We start from the raw sequence: 21739 nt of genomic DNA, 5'->3' as shown, positions 1-21739 counted from the left end.
GACTTGCTCACGATCCCCCTCTTAACTATATGGTAGCTTCTTTTTAGAACCCTGGCAGAGTCGTTTCGCAGGGTTTCCCAAACCATTATGTCCAGAATATTTCCTCAATTTGCTATGATATTTTTTTTCCTCAAAGAGAACGGCCATCCCACTTACTTCATGTTTACTTTTCCAGCACCATTCTGATCATATCTATCTGTTACATCAGAACATCAATTTCAAACTTCTTAGACTCCAAAAATATTTTTCCCTTCTTAATTATGCATTCAAATTGTAGGAATTTAGAAAACTGATGTTTACCTTATTAGCATTCTTGAGGTGATCATAATAGACTTCTTCAATGGCTTGAAAGTATATTACTCCTTTCAATTTAGTTTCATGCTTGTCTGCAAAGACAGATAAGTGTTAAATACTTTATCGCCACTGAGGAACAGAAAAAATAATAATTTTATTACAATTATAATCATTAAAATATTTACAAAGTATTTAATTTATCTAAGATTAATTCAGAGAACTTGGGCTAGTGCATGAGGCCCCTTCTATCTATACTGGAAAAATAAAAAAAGAAAAGCCATAAAATTACTAGCTGCAAACCGAAGAACGAGATGACTTTGCCTAAGGCTCTCCAGCAGATTAGCAGTCAAAAGATAACCCAACATACTGACTTTCAGGTTAGCATGGAAAGTGTAAACTCTAACAGCACCAATACAAATGATTTCTCCACATTTTCCAAGACCGTCTTTGTAATGAAAATATTAATATGTAGATCTGTTGTAATAAAATTTTTACAAAGTGTTTTTTGACTTGTTATTTAAAATAATTTTCTACCCATATTTATTTCCTATCAAATTTCTTATTCAGGGTGCGTGATTTTTCCCCCGTTTTCAACAGAGCTACAAGCAAATAATTTATTGTCCTTTCAATGCAACAATTTCCAAACTGTTTTCAAAGATTTCATCACATTTACCATAAAAACAAAGCAAAACAAAAACAACCAAAACATGACTCAAACATATAGCACCACTCTGTGATCTACTAAGTTCTTGAAATATTTTGTAACTTAAACTCTGCAAGGATCACAGTGCGTGTCAGCATATTAAAGAATTTTAAAAGCATGAATGAGGAGGCAGGGAAAGAGACTCTATCATACCCTAGTAGTGGAAGTGCAAATAAGACAGCCTCTTTTGGAAGACAGTAGGTAAAACAAACACAATTAAAAACACAAAAATCCTCTTACTAAGCAATTCCACTTACTGTATAAGATCTCGTGTGTGTGCAAATAAATGTACATGGATTTGTGTTTGTTGTGGCACAAGGTTGCAAAAGATCTGCTTGAGCTTTAATAGGAGACTGATTCAATTATAGACCAGTCATACAATGAAATCTACAAAGTTACTGAAATGATGGAGGTAGATCTGTATCTGCTCCTAAGGAAAAAACCCTTGAAATACTATTATATGAAATAGGGTACGAATAGAATGAATAATTTAGTCCCAAATGTATAAGAGGAAAAAAGAAAATATATACATACTGAAACATATATAGAAGTGAATAGAGAAAATATGAAATATTTAAGGCTTAAAAACGAGAGATCAGAACTTTTGTAATGATAAAGAGACTTACTTTCATCATACAAATTTTTGTTATATTTTGAATTTTTTACTAGGTGAATGTCCCTTTTTAACTACAAAAAGCTAGTCTAAAAAATAATGGCCCTGAAAAGTTCAGCAGAGAGTAAAACTATTTAATTGCATTTAATCCAGAATATCCTAACCTATTTGCCCATTGACGATATTTTTTTCTTTGTTTTTCCTCTTCCTTGTGAAACACTGTTTTAACTGATACCATGTTCAGTTAAGTTTCAGTCAGTTTCTGCGAAAGACAAGGTCAATGTATCTCTCAAACATTTGCTGGAAATGATATTGCAGTAATTCATGAGAATACAATAATACTTTGTTTTCTGAAAGCAAATGTAAAATAAAATCTGGAGATAAAAGCAAATCTTGCCAGTGTTTCAAGCAAGCAGAAGGAAACTTTGGTTTGCAGGGCACTTCATATATGAGAAAGAACTCTGAAAAATATAAGCCTCACAGCCACATTATGAGCGAAGAGAAGCAATGATGCTATTGTAAATTGATGAGATAACGCTGCACATTCTGTCTCTCTCAGTATTATGCCATCAATTTGCAGACATATTTTCTAGGCCTCGGTTTTCTTTAGAGACTCTCCTAAAGATCCCAGTTAATATGCAGGAGGCCAAGGACAAAGGCCAGGGCCATGAATAACACAGAGTCCTGGGACTTTGCCACTCAGTGTTCACATTTGCAGCTCCTTCACAAGTACACGGCCATTTCCCTCACTGACAGACAGAAGGGACATGACTCCTGTAGGGTTAAGTACAGCGTAAATTGCGATCTGGATGACTGCCTGCGGACTGGTCTATTCCTGTGCTTGTTGTGTATGAGAAGCAGGGGTGGGGGTAGGAGTGGACAAAGCTGATAGGTGATGGCCGTAAACAGAACCGAACGAGCAGCGTTTGTCCAACTAGGTCTCACCAGCCAGTTATATCATAAATACATATTAAAAAGCAAATGAAATGTAATTTTTGTCTGTTTTTTTAAATTAGGGTTCTGGGTAATTTTTCATATACCAAGAAGGTTTTGGTATTTTTTTAAAATTGAAATCAGTCACCAGAAGTTTTGGTTTGCAAAGACACATTTACATGGGTCTGAAGCTTGGAGCTTAGGTTTGAAGCAGTTGGCCAGGTCATGAAACCACTCACCTGGCCGATAGATGAGAGAATGAAATAAGGCTCACAGAGAACAGGAGCACAGAAGAAGAGTGAAGCAGTTTTGTGTGAAGTTCTTTAAAGTTGTATTTTTGGAAAATTCTGGGTGAGGTTTTCTGAAGACAATACCACATCATACAGTTTTGTTTATGCAGTGTGCAGACATCAAATTGTATTAACTGAAGAAAGCTGCTCTGGATGTTTATAAAACTCAATGACAAAAAGCCTTAGAGAGGCAAAGCAGGGGACCTAGGACCGGCAGGCCATCGGCTTCAGGCCACTAATTTCTCCAGTAACTGGAACCTCACCCAAAGAGCTCCTCGGTGAAAGGCAGGCATTCCCCTACCAGCTCCTCACCCATTTTCTGGGGCTCCTGAGCCACTCTTTCCTTTCTTCCACAGGCTGCTTGGTTTCTCACACTTCTCCTTATAAACATAACCTGACCTCACTGGATTGATTAAATGACTAGACTGTTATTTATATTTTATTGCATCGATACATTTTACTATTCCTGGTGATGCTCATAAATACTGACAGTCACCCCAAAACAGGGTTTTTTTCATAATATCTGGTATGACACCACTCTTTTTTAGCAGCTGCAAAGAAAGTAGAGCTATACTTGTACTAAAAATAGACATGTTTCGTATGTGATCCAAGAGGAAATAAGAGGTTCTTAATAAGTATGCCAGTTACACTAATATTCCTGCACTTATATAAGATTTGGTAGGGTATGTTTCTTGTCAGCCAACATTTAAGAATCCAAAAATATTTCAGTCACTTAATAAATAGTACTGATCACTAGTTTACCAATGAGCTTTACTCTCTGTGCTTAAAAGATCATTCTAGTTTATGAACTATAGTTGAATGATTTTCAGCTACGGCTGCCTAATTGTGTGTGACTTAAATGGGACGTATGACAATCAATCAATCACAAACCTCTCCCCACCCCCTTTTTTTTCTGGTGTGGTGGTTTGAAAGGCAATATTTTTTCTGATCCCACCCTATAATGATAGTATTTCTAGTATGATATTGTGATGTTTCATAAAATACAGTGAACATAAACAATTTGTTACCTAAATAAAGAATGGATTAAAACAGAAAAACAAATAAAAGGAAATATTTTGATCTAAAGAATAAATTTTACTTAATATTTATTGGGACCTGAGTTTACTTCAGAAGTAACATAGACCACTTCCCACTTTTTAAAGTAACATATAAAGTTTATTATTTCTAGAAAGGAAATTCATATCATATGGACTATATAATCTAAATATAAAATAATGTACACCTACAAATCTAATATTGCCATTAATTCTGTTATGTATCAACCTACCTATTTACACTGAATTTCAATTGCCTTTGCTCTTTAACAGGGGGTTCTTGATTTGAGTATATGGCTTAAATTGTTTTTATCACCCACCTGCATAATAAGAGAATGTTCGCTTGTTCCGATCAAAAACAAACCAACGTTTTTTCCACGTTTTAATTTTCCCACCCATTTTGATGAGGAATCCTCGGCAGGTCTTCTCTGTGATTGATACATGGTAACAGGTGTCAATATTGTGGCCAGCAGTCTCTACATGGCTCCGCAAATCAAAGTCTTCCTTCCGGACAGGCAGGTAGCGTGTCAAAGGACGAGCCTGGAAAAGTGCAAAACCCATTGCATCTATAGCTAATTATTTGTTTTGTTTTAGGTCACAGATGTTTAGAAGCAGAAATTAACTGTAAAACCTAAGCTTTAAAATGCCTATATGATTAAAAGAGCTTAAGATAAACAAAGCACTTATGATTTGGAGTCTAAAAAGTGGATAGTATTTTCAGAAAGATGCTGTAATATGTAGGGGAGAGGCAGATAAACTCAGGACAATTTATTCTATTCCTTAAGATGGGCAGTTGAGAAAATGAAAAATGGTCATTTATCTTAGTTTAAAAGATGTACTTTGCTCTTGTAATGAAGCATGAAGTTTTCTGGGCTGCTCCTTGCAGATGAGGACTGCTCCACTGTTAAGTTTCCAGAAGTTGTCCCTGCCACAGCTTAACAATCATTCTCAAGTAATCTCAAGCATGACATGATTGATTGAACACTATTTAGTAAGTACGGCCCCCACAGGATCCCACAAAGCTGTACTTGTCAGTTTACATATATTCCGATAGAAATTGAAGGCAGAGATTTATATTTTGAAAAGTAAAGCTAACATAAAGACAGAAGTGGAATCAAAACTGGACCTAATGTAATGAACTGTCCAGGACCAGATGCCAAAGGGATGTATTTAGATGTCTTTTATGTTACTGATGGCTGGTATGAAAGCCCGTCCAATCTAGGAAGCATATATCACCATGGGTGATAGTTCTAAAATGGTGTCTTATTTTATGCTGTTAAATAACCCCACCTCTTTGCCTCGGGGAAATGACCTAATTATATACTTGGAGGCAACACTTATAATCAGGATTAAAATAGAATTGTGCTTTTTGGTTTGGCTTCAGATAGTAAACACGCATGGATGACTTTCACTGCAAGTCAAAATTTGGCAGAGCGTTGGGCATGATGAAATAAAATAAACAAATTTTACTTTCTACTTTTCCTTCAATACTTAACGTTTGATTATGTGGTACTTTGGTTGTAACAGATGCTGCAGGCTTACTGATACCTCAAAGCATACAAAGTCTTAAAGATAGTCTCTAACTGCTATACTATCAAATGGCCAGCAACCACAAAGAATAAAAGTAATGGTATCTTTTGCCTTTGAGTCTAGTGAATCTTGATAAAATAGAGTTCAGCTTTAAATTACATAGTACTTAACAAAACTTTATGTTAGTTGCTCAGAAAACATATTATGTAAGCAGCTATAGTGACAAGAACAGAGATTCAAATTCTATGATGACCAAGATAAGACATTAAATAAAATGTGTGGTTTCTCCAAACTTTGCTTGAATACAACAAGCTTGTGCACAGGTGTTGAGGACTACTGTAGCAAAGGGAACACATGTGACAATACAGTGCTCAGAAAAAAGACAAAACACTACCACCATGACAAAGACACTGGACTTGGTGAAAAATTACACTGCTCTAGACTGTTTGCTTGTAAAAGATGGCTTAGTAGGACCTCTTCCATTCCCCAAGCAAAGGTTTCAGTTCAAATGTTGTATTTGTTTTCAGCAGCAAATCCAGGTGCATTTTTAAAAGCTGCTCAAAAAAGATTCTCTTTTTAAAATGTACTCCAAGGAATGGGTGGAAGAAAAAGTGCTGCTCCTGGCAAAACGTTCCATGCATGACTAAAGAAAAGTGTCATTTGGTTGGTGGTTCCCTAAGAGTTTTGAAATGAACTCACATTTTTTTTTTTTTTTTTTTTTTTTGCACAGGAATGCACACTCTTCTCTTAACCCTTACATGTCAAGTGCTAATGCTCAGTGCCCAGGAAAGCATCCTCAGACACAGAACAGCTGTCTTCTAGGAACTGCCACCAGGGGGCAACCTGCCCATATGCATTCAGATTGACCGACCAACCTGTGCCCTTTGTCTCTCCCTTATTTTTACTTCCTTTTCTATTAACTTCTGCCTCTGGCTAGTTTCTTCCTGTAATCGTTTTTCCAGGATTTCCCGGCGTCGTTTTTCTTCTTCCAGGGCTCGTTTTTTGGCTTCCATTTCCCGTTCCTAAACATTATGCATAACAATGATTATTTTAAAACATACTGGTTATACTTGAATGGTTCCAATCAATATAAAAAAGACAATTCTTACTAGACAAATCTTGGTTTGTAGACTAGTCTCTTATAATACATAACCTACAAGAAAACAACTCATAACCATGCCTGGTATAGCTTCCAAAATCATCATCTGCAGAAATGCAACCACTAAATTTAATTAACAATTAAATTGTGGTCTTCAGTGAAAATCCAGCTTGTTAATATATTCAGTCATTTCATCATTTCATATCAACCAGCAACTCTCCCATTTTAAATAAAAAGCCTCACAAACTGTACTTTAGCACTTATCACGTGATTTAGCCTGTCTTTTGACTACTGTCTTCTAACTGAAGGCCATGGTCCCTCTAATTCCTGTTGTTGCTCTGTAGTTTCCTGGCTGAAGGTCACAGAGGAAGCACGTGGGGAAGTTAGAAAAGGAAAGGAGGTGCCCTTCAGGGCAGGATGCAAAGGCATTTTGGGGGATTCCTAAGGAAGTCAGATTCTGACTTGAAATACAGTCATAAAAACGTGGGATTTTAAATATTAAAATAGTGCAGTTAGCACAAGCTGGGAAGGAAGAAATAATGCATAAAGACATGACATTCCTCCCTGCTCCTTGGCAGGAACACAAAACAGCCATCAAAAGACAAAAAACAAAAACAAAAAACAAAAAAAAAACACACACAAAAAAACACAAAGTGTTCATTTCGGTCTATGTCAATACTATATATATATTTCAAGTTATGGAAAATCCACTGCAGTAGAGAGCCTTAGAAATCATCTAACACCTTTATTTTTCAGATAAGAAAATGAGACTGAGAAAGGTTGAGTGATTTATTCCAGGAACACACGGCTCCTTAAGGAGGAGTATTGTCTGATGCCAAGCGCAGGGCTCCTGCACCACGGTATCACAGACCTCCGGCATGAAAATATGAAGCTTACCCTGGATTCGAGCAGCCGCGTCTTTTCTGCATGAGCCTGCTTCAAAAGTCTCTCCATTTCTTCTATTCTAGCAATATTTGAAGTGCTGGCACTGAATGAAACACCAAAGCCTTTTGAGAATATTGGTTTAGACTGAGAAGTCTCTCTAATACATACACACACACACACACACACACCCCAGACACACACACACACACACACATGGGGTCAAGGGAGGTGCATAACAAAATCCAAGCATATATAATTTAAAGAATGTTACTTACGAGTCATTGGACCGAAGAGGCAAATCAATTCAACTCTGAGAATTGTAGGTGACACTGACTTACCTCAGTTTAGAAGACAAAATATAGGCAAGCAAAATAATGCTAATGCTTTACTCATAGGTAAATAAACCAAAACCAAATCTTACAAAGTGTGACTTCTAAATGCTTCCTCCAAAGTCTAAAAATAATGACCCATGAGAGTCCTTCCCATTAGTTTAATGACTTAAAGATATCAGACCAACAAGACTATCACCAACGTTCTATATAAATGACACCTAATGTTTGGAGTCACTTTATTCAGTTGTGGAATATGTATTATGAGCTACTTTTTGTTGTCCCTTTATATGTGTGGACACTTTATTTATTAAATCATGATGCCAATTAAAACATGACTTCTCCTATAGGTGCAATGGATGGATAGTGGCCAGTTTTGTGAAGAGTACCCCCTCATGATACCAATGAGAAAACTGTATAAAGAGATTTAAGAGCTTCAAAAGAAATGATGGAAAAGACATCACTCAAGTGAAAGATGAAACCAAAGGGAGTGAAAGGTGCAAGAACAGTCAGGGTAACTAACAGACAAAGTGAAAACTTGAAAATGTTTAACACAAAACAGGAAATTTTATTTTCCACCGCTTACATTCTATTTGACTGTTCTGGAAAAGAGAGACTATAACCTAGGTCAAAACTTATTTACTTTGCTGTTTCAGCTATGGAAACCATATGCTATTTGTAATGCATGTGTACTTTTGTACTCATTTAAGTACCTGCCTTCTTTACTAGACTCTCTTGAGGACATACAGACAGACTTTCGTGCCTGTATCCCTGTAGCATAGAACCTGGCATAGAGTAGGGATACATGTTTGTTAGACACATTCATATAAAAATAAATTCATTAAAAATTCATATAAAAATGAAGAATCAGAGACCTCTTGGTTATAGATACTTATTAATATAGTATTCTCAAATTATATTTTTGTAAATCAAACCTAGGATGGTTTAAATCTAGGGCTAAGAGTTCTGTTGAAGAGAACACAGGGCATACAGTTTATTCTATAATCAGTACTGACAGCCCCATTACAAAACACATCCATTAAGGAGTGAACTGTCTTAGGAATACCGGATCCTTATAAGCTTAACAATTAGGCTGCACTTTGCAGAGTAACCTTGAACCACTTTTTAGCCAGGTGTTTTCTCCCACATGAAAGAGAAGAACATGGCAGTATCTTCTCATTATTTCCATTAGCCAGTGAGGAGATACAAAAGAGTAAGTTCTGTTCTCTTCAGCTAGCAAGAATCCAAGGGAAAGAAATCTTTTAATTTTTGTACAGGAATTCTTATTCTCCTTCATTGTGAATACCTGACTTCATGGGTGGAAAGGGATAAACTTCATTGCCCCAACTGAGAAAGCCAAAGACAGGCATGCAGGACGTATAAGGGCATAAAATTATATTTATATTCTATAGTGTAGTTTGTGACATCAAATATGTATGTTTTATATCTCTCATTAATTTGAAAATAATTTGAATTTCACTAAGTTTCAGGTCTTGAAAACTCACCAGTTAGTCAAAACAAACTCACCAATAGCCTAATCCCCATTTATCCCTTTTTTTCATATAGTCAATGTTTATTTAGATTTCACTGTTTACCATTTTCTTTGCTTACATGTCTTCCCTCCTGCCCCCACCATGAGATTTATTGAGCATACATATACTTGACAAATTAAATTTGCATATATTTATGGTATATAACATGATGTTTTGATGTATGCATACATTGTGCAATGATTACTACAATCAAGCTAATTAACGTGGCTCACGCCTGTAATCCCAGCACTTTGGGAGGCCAAGTTGGGTGGATTACCTGAGGTCAGGAGTTCAAGACCAGCCTGGCCAACATGGTGAAACCCCTTCTCTACTAAAAAAAAAAAAAAATTAGCCAGGTGTAGTGGTGGGTACCTGTAATCTCAGTTACTCATGAGGCTGAGACGAGAGAATTGCTTGAACCTGCAAGACAGAGGTTGCAGTGAGCTGAAATTGCACCATTGCACACCAGCCTGGGCAACACAGTGAGACTCTGTCTCAAAAATAATAATAATAATACCAACACATTTATCACCTCATGTAGTTACCTTTTGTGTGTGTGTGTGTGTGTGGTGAGACACATTTGTCCCTTAATTCTATGATAGCACTATTGCAGGATGGTAATTCCTGACAAGTAGTTACGTGTGGCCATGATCATTTTCCACAGTTGCTTTACACAAAACTGACTCTGTGGTGCTGGCAACTGCAGATAACTAATCCCCATGGTCAGAAACTACTAATAGTATTTAATGTCATTGTCTTATGAGATCTTCTGAATGTCAAAAAATTGGAGCCAAAGTAGAAGATGCCTGTAAAAGGTGGAGTGCAAAGGGGAGAGAAAAACAGGCATTTCTCTTCTGTACTACCATCAACTTTAAAACAAAATTTATGATACTCTAAGATAAGCTCTTACCCATTATTATGATGGAAAATAAGTGATAAACATCAGGGAAGCAGGTAATGAGGAACCAATGTTTGGAATGTGTATTTTGATAAAGCATCCTTAATTGGAAATTTTTTGAACATTGGTAGAAAGAAGAGTAAAAAACTAAAAAATCTTTTCTGCTTAAGATTTGTTTTTAACTTATGTACTAAAATATTCCCAAATTATAAGCCTATTAATGAGGTAATTCCATGCTGAAATTCTAGTCACACAAACTTGGTCTCGTGGTTTATTATGTCACAAAAAAATATTTGTAGGATGATAGGATTACTCAGAGTTGTGGGTACATTTGCCCTTCACTTTTTGTTGAGACATCACTTTATGACTACCAGAAAGTTACATGAGTCAGACAATGTTTTTGCTCTTTCAATATCATTATTTACAGTGTAGACAAACATAATGCTCAGAAAATAGGTCTTGGGTCACAGAAAACAGACAATTGAGAGTTAATTCTGCATACAATCTCCATTCTGCTAAAATTATTAAACTGGCTTATAGAAGAGTATTCTGAATACTACCTACACAGATACTTATTATTACTATTATCATTATTAACTTACTAAGCCCTGACTTTGTGCCTATCCTTTGAGAAAATGTTAAGAACCAGTACAGTCAAAGGCACAGAGATGGGAGAGTTCTTCATCCTCTCAATCATTAAGCTCTGTGAGGTTTATCGGGAGAATGAACGGGAGTTGGGCTGGACCTAGAGTGCCAGGTTCCGGGATCTGACAGTAGGTAGTGGGACATCAAAACTTTAGAAAAGGAGGAGCACCATGGCCAGATTTATATGTTAAGACCACCTTTGCTTGTCTCAAAGTATAAATACAAACGTGAACACTTAAATCCTTACAAAAATTTTAACATACAGAATAGCAAAAAGCTTCCTTTTAACAAATACAAGGGTAAGAAATCCTCCAAAGTTCTGACTGCTGTTGGAAATCATTCCTTTTCTTTTTCTTTCTTTCTTTTTTTTTTTTTTTTTTTTGAGATGGAGTTTCACTCTTGTTGCCCAGGCCGGAGTGCAATGGCACAGTTTTGGCTCACTGTAACCTCCGCCTCCCGGGTTTAAGGGATTCTCCTGCCTCAGCCTCCTGAGTAGCTGAGATTACAGGCATGCGCCACCATGCCCAGCTAATTTTTTGTATTTAGTAGAGACAGGGTTTCACCATGTTGGTCTGGCTGGTCTTGAACTCCTGACCTCAGGTGATCCACTCACCTTGGCCTCCCAAAGTAGCTGGGATTACAGGCATGCGCCACTGTGCCTGGGCCCTCTTTTTTAAATCAAAAGCAGTGTAAGTGAAGCTTAGAGCTAACCAACAGAAGGAAATCAATTTTAAAGCACAGTGTAAATTTGAGCTCAAGTGGAGAAAAACAGGATAAAGGTGGAAACAGATTATATGATGCCTGACTAGCTAAGTTACACAAGATAAGAGAAACTACTTTCAAAGGCCATCATGATACCAACCCTCTTCTGCATTACAGACCCTTTATGTCTCAAAAATTTGGGCTTGTGCATATACAGTTCCCAAATTGATGGCTTTACTTTTTGTGAGCAGTAGGCTCTTTTCCAAACCAGAAACCTTACCCATAAATAAATCTTACCTAGAGATGTTGTCTGGTGAGCAAGCAGAGATGCTGGTCTCCATGCTATCAGAGCTATCGAGGCTCAGAGTATCAAAGGCCTGGTCCTTGTAGCTGTGATCTGGATAATGGAAACTATTCAAGTAGACATTTGATTCAGATGCTGTGCGGTTATAAAATTCAGATTTCTGCCTGTGTCCTTCACTCATCTGTTGGTGATTATAACCTAAGGAAGGAGCCATAAATATGTTAGTTTGCCTCATTTTTCAGTCTTTGAATCTTAAACATCTACAGACACAAGCCAGCAACCAGAAACATCTGCCTATGAAGCTTGGGCCTTGGTCTAATTTGTTTTGAAGCCAAGAAGATCAAAGAAAGAGCACCGTGCTCAGTGCAAGCAACAGTTTGAATGAAGTGGTCTGCTGAGTCTCTTACCCCTCAGCAGGATCACTTGACACTTTCCTATGGCATTCCTACATCTCAGCACAACCAGCAACACACAAACACAAAAGAAACCAAACAGAAACACAATCAAAGGCCCTGAATCCTCTAGAAATAGCTGTGTTCAAGTGAAAATAAGATGCCTCCTAGTGACAAGCAAAACCAGGGTTTTAGGGCAGGCACTTCTTCAATGGTATTCAACTTAAGGAGCACTCAGTCTGGTCATAAAAAAGCAGGTGGAATCTTTCAAGTGTAGGATTTCAGAAACTCGTATCTCATATCATCACTGACACTTTTAATCTTGTTAAGATCCAAACTACACATTTTTCCCATTTTCTCTCTCTCTCTTTTTCAGTTGTTCTTGTCTGTCAATTACTTATTTAATTCAGAGTCAACATTCCTTCCAATGACTGTGCTCCTCGTAATTACCCTAGCTCTCTTCTTTTCCCATCATAACAATCAGCCTTCCACAAGCTGTTGATAACAACCATTTGAAAATGTAGGCATCAGTAGGACGAAAAGCACCATAAATAAGAGGTCTTTATTTTTTATTTTTATTTTTTGAGACGGAGTCATGCTCTGTCACCAGGCTGGAGTGCAGTGGCACAATCTCAGCTCACTGCAACCTCCACCTCCTGGGTTCAAGCAATTCTCCTGCCTCAGCCTCCCAAGTAGCTGGGACTACAGGAGTGCACCACCATACTCAGCTAACTTTTGTATTTTTAGTAGAGACGGGGTTTCACCATGTTGGCCAGGATTATCCTGATCTCTTGACCTTGTGATCTGCCTGCCTCGGCCTCCCAAAGTGCTGGGATTACAGGCGTGAGCCACCGTGCCCGGCCAAGAGGTCTTTTCTTTACCCTGGTGCTCGGTCACCTGGCACTTTAGGTTACTGGCTTTACCTTGTGTTACTGCTATGGCTTGCTCTCTGATCGCTGATTTAGGGCATTACAAGTCAAATTTTCTTTTCAATTCTCTATTTATCATAGACTCAGAAGCAGGCATCATATTGATTAACAAATTCCTCCATTCATTAAAAAACTTTTCTCTAGCCAGTACTAGAGTTTGTAATCTCTTTCTCCCTGATAAGAGAATGTCTACTCGAATAGTTTCCATTACCCAGGGAGTTATTACCAGAGCTATTCAGAGTTCACAACTGGACCATTTGAATTTCCTCTTTTTTGTGTGCTCTACCTACCTTTCAATGAAAGTTTTAGTAATAATGAAATGGTCAATAGTAGGCAAGAGGATGAAAGAAGAGAAGTAATTCTCAATGGCTTTCTCAGCTATTGATTAAACATTTCCATTTAAAAATAGAAGCCACATCCATGATGCCTTAACAAAGCATTGTATGTCAAAATTTCTGTAAAATGGTTTTAGTTTCATGCAGAGTATTCACACCATTAGTATTTGGAGTGGTTTTAGATATTTAAGTGAAAATAGGTTATTTCAGATTCAGACATTTCTGGGAAAATAAGTTACTTTAATATAATCTGCCATTATAAATTATAAATACATATGTATTTTTTAAAGCCATATAGCATTTAGCTAAGGGAAGATGGAAAACATAAAAGCACACCACAAGACTAAATAGAATGTCATGAATTATAATGATCAATCCACACAGCATTAAATGAAGCTGGTATAGTCACATGCGTGAAGCTGCGTCTTTTTTTAAGGAAGGCGAAATAATTCATTACTCAAATATTTACCTTTGATACTTGAACTTTTGGAATTACTAATTGCTCCTTTTAAGTTGTTTCCAATTATTTATTATGCAAATGACAAAAAAACAACAGAAATTATTTGAAAAGCTCACACACGTATATTTTCTTATGATTTCAAAAAAAGGCTTGTGGCATAGAAAAGTTTCACATTGGCACCAACTACATGGACGATATTTCCTTGTAGTATGAAAAACAAATCCCTAAAGGACAGCCATGTAATTTAAAACATACAAGAATTATCTCTCTGGCAATGAGTGACATTGCCACAACCTCTTCCTCTCCCTGAGTTTTCACATTGAGGAAAAACCAACCCATATGAAGCAATTACCACCATCTTGGAAAAGCAGGAAAGAAGGTGAGCATGTTTCTTAAGGGAACTGTATGTCTTGCTCCTCAGATCTTCCAAGGTTGTGTTTTTTGTTGTTGTTGTTTTTCGGCTACTTTTCCAAAAGTAACACAGAATAACAAAATAGAACTTACAGGTGAAGGAGATAGTAAACTAAAATGACTCAGATGTTTCAGGTGAATGTAGAAGGGCCAGCTACATTACAATTTGTACTGTGCTAAGGGTTGTGAATATTAATTCCCCAGACCAACTCACAAGTTGTTGAGGTTTGACTCTACGACTGAATCTCCCAGTCATTCTGGTGGTAGGATAAGCATTTTACATTTTCATGGCAACTTAAACGAAAAAGCATGAGGCCAATAATAAGCATCTTTTTCCCAACCCATGATTTTTATTTCCCATGAATCCAAAGTGAGTGGAAAAGTTCACCTCATGGAGCTACTCATTTCTGCCTACTGGCAACACTTTACTGACCTCAGTGAACCCCACTGTCACCTGGCCTAGCTTCCTCCCTGCTGAACAAATCCCCCAAAAACAGGTAACCCCTGCAATTATCAATACGGGCATGGGCCCCTCTCCTGTGATCCTGCAATTGAACCAGTGTGATTCCAAAGAGCTCATTTTGGGATTCAGGCTCTGGCCTGGCCATCCAAAGGCATAGATATTTTAAACAGAGGAAACGTCATAGAAGATCAGGGGACGGGGCTGGGTAACCTGGTAGGAGGCCCAAGGAGAGATGCTGGTGCAGTGAAGGAACACTAGAATGGCAGTAAACTGGCCTAGGCCTCCACTCTCATTGAAGCTTTATCAGGAAAGGGGATGCAGATGTCCTGTGCACCACAGTTTACCTCCATTTATTTGGCATGTGGATGTCATAAGATAAACAGTCACTGAATGAATTTATCTTTTCATCTATATATTCTATATAAATAGTCAAATAAGGAAGTGGAATGCATCTACTTTTTGAGGGGGAGCAAAGAAACAAGATTGGGAAAAATGAGACTTTCCCAACCCCTGAGACTATTTGGTTTCTGTTTTTTAATTATGTAGCAAGAATAACATTAATCAGTGGGAAAGCAACTAAAACAGTAAAAAGGGCCTTGAAAATGCTCTAAATCCTTCCTATCCAGAGAGAAATAGCTGTTTGAAGGGGTAGTTTATAAGGTGTATAAAGCAAGACCTAATTGAGGCTTGTTTCTAATCATAGCCACACAAGGAACCCAAACCAGTTCAGCTCTTCACTGCCTGGGACAGCCAAGGGACCAAATGTGCAAGGCCCATTTATTATTATTATTTTTAATGCCAGTCTCTATTAATTCTGGCTAATTGGACCTGAAAAGTCTCTTGTGAGTTAACGATTACACAATGTGTAGAGTCCTGCCAATACATTCCCAATATGTGGTATATACTTTTACATGGCTATCTGGGCTGTAATATAGAAAGTAAGATGACTTAAAGTATAACCTGGGGTTAAGAGGATAAAATTAACCAGTATTTCTAACAATTCAGCCTGTCATAGCTCACCTGCTGAGGAATTCATTCTTCCTAATGACAGTCCACAGCCAGAAGAAGAGGGCACAGGACAAGTCAGGAATGAAGAGGGAGAATGATTGTAGAAAGGGAAAAAGATACAAGATCAAAAAGGATGACAAGGGGGCAGGAAAAACATACAACACTTCCAACATGCACTCATTGATGGTGTTAGTTACAATAGCAAATTAACAAGGTATGATGTTCACAGTTTCAGATTAAATCCAAGTTTACAGAGAAAAACTCAAGAAACCTTAAAAAAAATTGATACATGCATAGTCAAAAAAGACTGTTACAAGACAAATAAATCTTTCACACATATTCATCAACCAGAAAATAGGAAGAATAAAAACAGATTATATCTATCAAACAATTCTTTTTCCAAACAGACAATAGCAAATAGTTTTTAAGAGCTCAAGTTTGTAAAATGCCATTCAATTATTTGAAGCACAGTTCATCAAGTTTTATAACACATCGTCTAACATCCTACATCTCTACCACCTAGCCACAGGAAATAACCATCTTACTTATTCAAGCCAATCATTTAAACTATACTTCACTCTCCACTAAGTCTTTCTTAGAAAACAGGCTCCAATGAAATGAATAAGTAGGAGCTTCCTAAATCCTTTCATCCTTTGACTGTAGCCTGACTTATTTATACCTGTCCTTTTTAAAGGAGAATCATGGTTTACACTTAGCTCATATACATCACAATACCCTCTATTCTCTTTATATAGATCCTGAATCTTACAAAACAATGCTTCCACAGCACTCATGTTTCCTGCAGGGTCTGACCTTGCGATTAAAAGCCAAAACAAAGAGGGTCATGCAGCTGCCAGTGAATGAACAGCAGCTGCACCCAGCATTGTGTTTCTTGCAAATGTGCAACAATTTTTCTCTATTGTGTAAAAGAAATAATCATTAGACTAAAAATCCACCACTGCACAGTGTTAAATCTGATCATTTCTTAAACATGACTTGACAATGACCTTTCAATATTTGCTGGAAACAAAAACACCACACAAGGAGGTTGTCATACCTTTCTTGGACTTTCCTGTATTTAACAAAAAACAAAAGGACAAAGATTTCATTCATTCTAAAGCTGACAAAGGAATAGTTCACAAGTTGTTCAAAAGCCAATAACCATTCCAACTTCAGAAGCTGAGTTTCTCAGCTCTCTGTTTTAAACTCTCCTCTCAAAGTTCTTTGCACGACTCACGCTGTCAGTTCTATTAACAGTGCTGATTAAGGCTTATACTTACACCATCATCCTTGATGTATCCATTACGAATAGCAGCAAAAAAAGGTGTATTTAAGTTAATTGTGTAAGTTTAAAAGATGATTAAAGTCTACTAAATGTGAGTTAGTGAAAATATGCCAGGTATAATTTTTTTCAAATCCATAGAATTTTACTTGTATTTGCTATTTTAATAAAGTTAACAAGTGCTAGTCAAACAATTCTAAATGAAATTATGATCCATCCCTCCTGGGTTTTTTGTGAACCACCAGTTTGGGCTGTGTAGAAAATCCTGCCAGTTTTACAGTCTGCTGGGGTTCTAAGAACTATAGACCCTGACTTCTCCTCCTCTGGGTAGGGGAGCCAAAGGCAGCAGGCTGTCTTTTCAGAACACATCTCCTTGGACCAACACGCATATAATGGTTCTTTATTTCCTCAGAAGCTGCCCCATCAGAATTACATGAAACTCTTCAAGAGGAAGAGCACTTCACAGTTACAGCAGAGAAAGACTGAAGTTGCAGTCTTCTGAGCTGCATAAAGGACGTATCAATAAAGAACAAGAGCACTAAAGATAAATCAAAGACAGATTTGATTTTGCAACGGGAACATCAGTAATGTGGCCTAAGGGAATTAGCTCAGTTTTCCTCTATGAAACTGGCATGGGATTCCCATTACTTCAGGGGAAAACAGATTAGAATAACTGAGATCAAACCTTCCCTCGGTTTCACCATATTCTCACAAAATCCTCTTAAATGGTAATGTTAATGGCTCTTGAGTTTTGCTAATCTATTTATTTACTATAAAGTTCTAGTTTTTCTTACTCTTTGAGAAAATACTTTTATTTATTAATTTATTTTTTGAGACAGGGTCTTGCTCTGTTGCCTAGGCTGTAGTGTAGTGGCATGATGGCAGCTCACTACAGCCTTGACTCCCAGGCTCAAGCGATCCTCCTACCTCAGCCTCCTGAGTGGTGGGGACCACAGGTGCATGCCACCATGCCTGGCTAATTTTTAAATTACTTGTAGAGATGGGATCTCACTATGTTGCCCAGGCTGGTCTCAAATTCTTAAGCAATCTTCCCTCCTCAGCCTCCCAAGGTGCTGAGAGTAGAGGCATGAGCCACCACACCTGGCAAGAAAATGCTTTTAACATGGAGTATAGTAATTTGTGATCCCACCCTCTTTCCCAAATGCTTGCTCTTTCAATTAAACACCTGAAGTACATGAAAATGCTTAATGGTCTTTGTTGGTGTTGTGGCCAATCTAAGCTTTGATGTCTTCCGACGGTGGGAAAAATATATTTAAAAAGAAGTCTAATACATGCCTGTAATCCCAGCACTTTGGGAGGCCAAGGTGGGAGATCACTGGAGCCCAGGAGGTCGAGACCATCCTGGGAAACATGACAAAAACCCATCTCTGCCAAAAAATACAAAAATCAGCCAGGTGTGGTAGCACACACCTATAGTTCCAGCTTACTCGAGAGGCTGAGGTGGGAGGATCACTTGAACCCAGGTGGCAGAGTTTGCAGTGAGCTATAATCACACACCACTGCATTCCAGCCTGGACAACAGAGTGAGACCTTGTCTCAAATATTTATATGTAAATATTACAGAAAAATGTTTCAACAGCAAATAGACTTGACCCACAACTTAACAGTGATAAATGAGAGCCAAAATAGATGGATTTATGTTTATTATTTATAAACATCAAAAGAATATGTTTAGCTTATTAAGAAATTATGGCAAAGAAAATAAAATAGTTCAATCAGTTTATTTGATTCAAATATTACCACTGCAAATGTCTCTTACACATTATAAACCTATTATGAATACTATACCCTCTAATTTTTAAATCGCCTTTAGTAATGATTTGAAAACCTCGTTCCAGTGAGAGATATATATATATATATCATATATACATACACAATACACATTATGTGCACATATATATAAATTTATGTATGTATATGTAGCATATATGTATTACATATATGTGCGTGTGTGTGTGTGTGTATATATATATTTTCCCCTGATGGAAAACCAGTGTTATCTCTCAGTACCATTGGCAGAGAGGCCAAAGAGCTAGAATCGAATTCCAGCCTGCTTAGAGGGGAGGATTTGAATCCCATCACTGCATGAATGTATTTGAAGGCCAAATGCCTGCCATCCCCAAAGCATTTCCATTTATATCCTGGGCATACCGCCATTATTTCATTTACCACATTTTATTGAAATCATCTGTTCTGTGTCTTTCTTCCTCAATAGACTATAAACATTTCAAAGGCAAGCTTCCTATCATTCATTTGCATTCTTGGCACCTAGCATCGTGCCTGCTCAAAAGTTAGGGCAATGTAACTTGTTGACTTAAACTATTGTGTTAACACAAGAAATCTAATCCTCTCAACAGGAAGCTTAGCCCTGGAACTACATTACAGTAATTTCTTCTAGCCCCATGAAGACTATCTGAGAATCCCATTATAAATGTAATGTATTACTACAAAAAAAAATGCTGAGAGTCAAAGTCTACCTGAAACATAACAACTATGAAGTATAAAAGCTCAAATCTACATTAAAAGGCCTATAAGAATTCTGTTCTGGGCCACTAATGCTATATTTGCTGTGTCAGCTCAATGATTCTTTAGCACAAGGTTCATTCGACATAGTGGCTCAGACACAACCCAGGTGAGTGATCTTGGTTAAGTGCCCTGGTAATCTCCTTGGATCTCACTGGTCTCTCTTTTCTTTCTATTAATCGAATGGGAAGGTTAGTAATTCTCTAGGGGTCTTTCTGGTTTCAGAGTTCTATCAAATCTATAAAGTACAACGGGAATGTTTAAAATATACCAGCTATATGTATAAATAGGAAAAGTTATATATCCCTCCCGAAAGAGAACACATTAAGAGTAAAATTAGGCCTTTGGTTGATCCCTCCTCTAATCATCCCTACCCCTGTTCTCACTTCCTCCCCCTGAAGAATTCTAATGCTTAACAAAAGGCCATGACACTTGATTTAAAAGGTACGTACCTCTGAGCATCCTCCGAGATTCTGAGTCTTTGGCCATGGCTGCCAGTGAGGGAGGGAGCACACTTCCACAGCTGTTACTCTGTCCTAGGGGCAGATGGGCCTGCGGGAAGCAGGAGGGAGTACTTCAGGCAAGCTGCAGGCTGAATGGACCTTTAGGAAATGGCCACATCCCTGTTTCCAAAGCTCCTATCTAAGTGTACAGGGCAGAGAAGGTAAGTCTTTGCATTTCATTTGTTGATGCTAAGTGGTAAAGGCCAGTTACTGGCCCTCCCGAGAAGTTCCAGGGTAGTCGCAATATCAAAGCACTTCCTCCAACAGCAGCAATTCCAAAAGTGAAGACAGCTGGGGAAGACACTGTCCAAAATCACCTGAAAGAATGGCTGAAAGTTCTTCATGCATAAGGAGCAGAGGGCAGATGCAGGGCCAAGAATGCATGCGCACCATGCAAAAGAACAGGGAAGAGCTACTCTTGTTACAAATGCACCCATTTTTATTTATCCCCTGTTATGCGGTGGGTTGAAACTGAAGAAATCTATTAACACCCTAATGGTTTTAGCATTTTTTAAAAATAGCAAAATCCTTCATGTAGATAAAATGTACTTGAAACACAAATTTATAAAACAGATTAAAACAAAGTTACTCTGATTAAGGGCAGGGGAAGGGCTCAAAAGTCTGTCTCATTCAGAACCTCCTTCACACCTGCCTCTTCTCTTGCCACAATGATCCCCTCAGGCATGTCGGCAGAACCTGAGGGAGAGCTTGGGCGGGCATCAGGTCGCATAGGTTCACATTCCACTCCACTACATACCAGCTGAGGGCTCCTTGGTTAGTCACTTAGCCTTATACACCTCAGTTTATCCATACATACAACTGGAATAATAATCAGTAGTCTACTACCCAGTGCTGCTGGATTTTCAAATGAAGCAATCCACATAAAAGGCTCAACCCAGCGTCAGCTACATGAAAATGTCTGAATAAATATTTGTTGCTGTTATTCCTGGAACACAGAGGCTACATCCTATCTTATCTCCAGATGTGGGATGCAGCCACGGAAGTCCATCATGTAAGTGAATGCCACTCATCGCCTGGGTTGTGCTGGTAGAAAATACCCTGAAGCATGTTCTTTGGCCCCAGAGCATACAGTTTCAGATGTCCTCTGAACAGGTAGAAAATGAGATTTAGTCCTGATGTCTGCCTAACAAGTAAATGTAATGATTTATTATTTAGCACTTTTCTTTAAAGGCCTTTACACATCAGTGAATATAATGACAAGAAGACTCATGGAATGGGAAGCCCGTGGTTTCTCCCAGGTCCTACCTTTGGGGTGATGCTTCTCCCCATAGTAGCACTGCTGAAATGTGGGGAGATGGAAGATGTGGTTTTCTTTCGAGGCAAAGTATCACTCAGATAGAGGCCTTCTTTATGCTGTTTTTTCCTTTCTTCCAGACTTCTAAAGTGCTTTAAATGCAAATGCAAAGCAAAATAGCAAAACTTGACTAACTGTAATAGGTGACTGAAGAAATGAAGAATTATGCACTTACAAAAAAAACTGGAATTTTAACAGAATTTTTCTTAAAGTTATTCAACATATATTGTGTTCACTGATAGATTTGAGCTAGTATTTGATTAGATACTAAACACTGTAGGAATT

General features: G+C 37.8%; 1 protein-coding gene across 4 annotated transcripts in view, besides 1 other annotated feature; it reads right to left on the bottom strand.

Moving 5' to 3' along the window:
* Positions 1-21739, bottom strand: part of PHLDB2 (pleckstrin homology like domain family B member 2) — a 244022-nt gene that overhangs the window by 2400 nt on the left and 219883 nt on the right. For all 4 annotated transcript variants that reach the window (NM_001134437.2, NM_145753.2, NM_001134438.2 and 1 more), the window contains 7 exons: positions 21406-21546; positions 20089-20188; positions 11806-12010; positions 7415-7505; positions 6294-6440; positions 4209-4428; positions 301-386 (listed from right to left, as the gene is read on the bottom strand). In NM_001134437.2, the coding sequence (NP_001127909.1) occupies positions 301-386; positions 4209-4428; positions 6294-6440; positions 7415-7505; positions 11806-12010; positions 20089-20188; positions 21406-21546 (990 nt within the window). The remainder of the gene's footprint in view (positions 1-300; positions 387-4208; positions 4429-6293; positions 6441-7414; positions 7506-11805; positions 12011-20088; positions 20189-21405; positions 21547-21739) is intronic.
* Positions 16342-16636: a silencer, noted in NCBI's record as "tiled region #1117; HepG2 Repressive non-DNase unmatched - State 23:Low". NCBI's record gives its function as "represses a minimal TATA promoter and a strong SV40 promoter by Sharpr-MPRA in HepG2 cells {active_cell/tissue: HepG2}" and the evidence as "EXISTENCE:reporter gene assay evidence [ECO:0000049][PMID:27701403]".

The sequence above is a fragment of the Homo sapiens genome, chromosome 3 (genome assembly GCF_000001405.40).
Source record: "Homo sapiens chromosome 3, GRCh38.p14 Primary Assembly".
NCBI lineage: Eukaryota > Metazoa > Chordata > Mammalia > Primates > Hominidae > Homo > Homo sapiens.
This window is presented reverse-complemented; position numbering and strand designations above follow the sequence as displayed.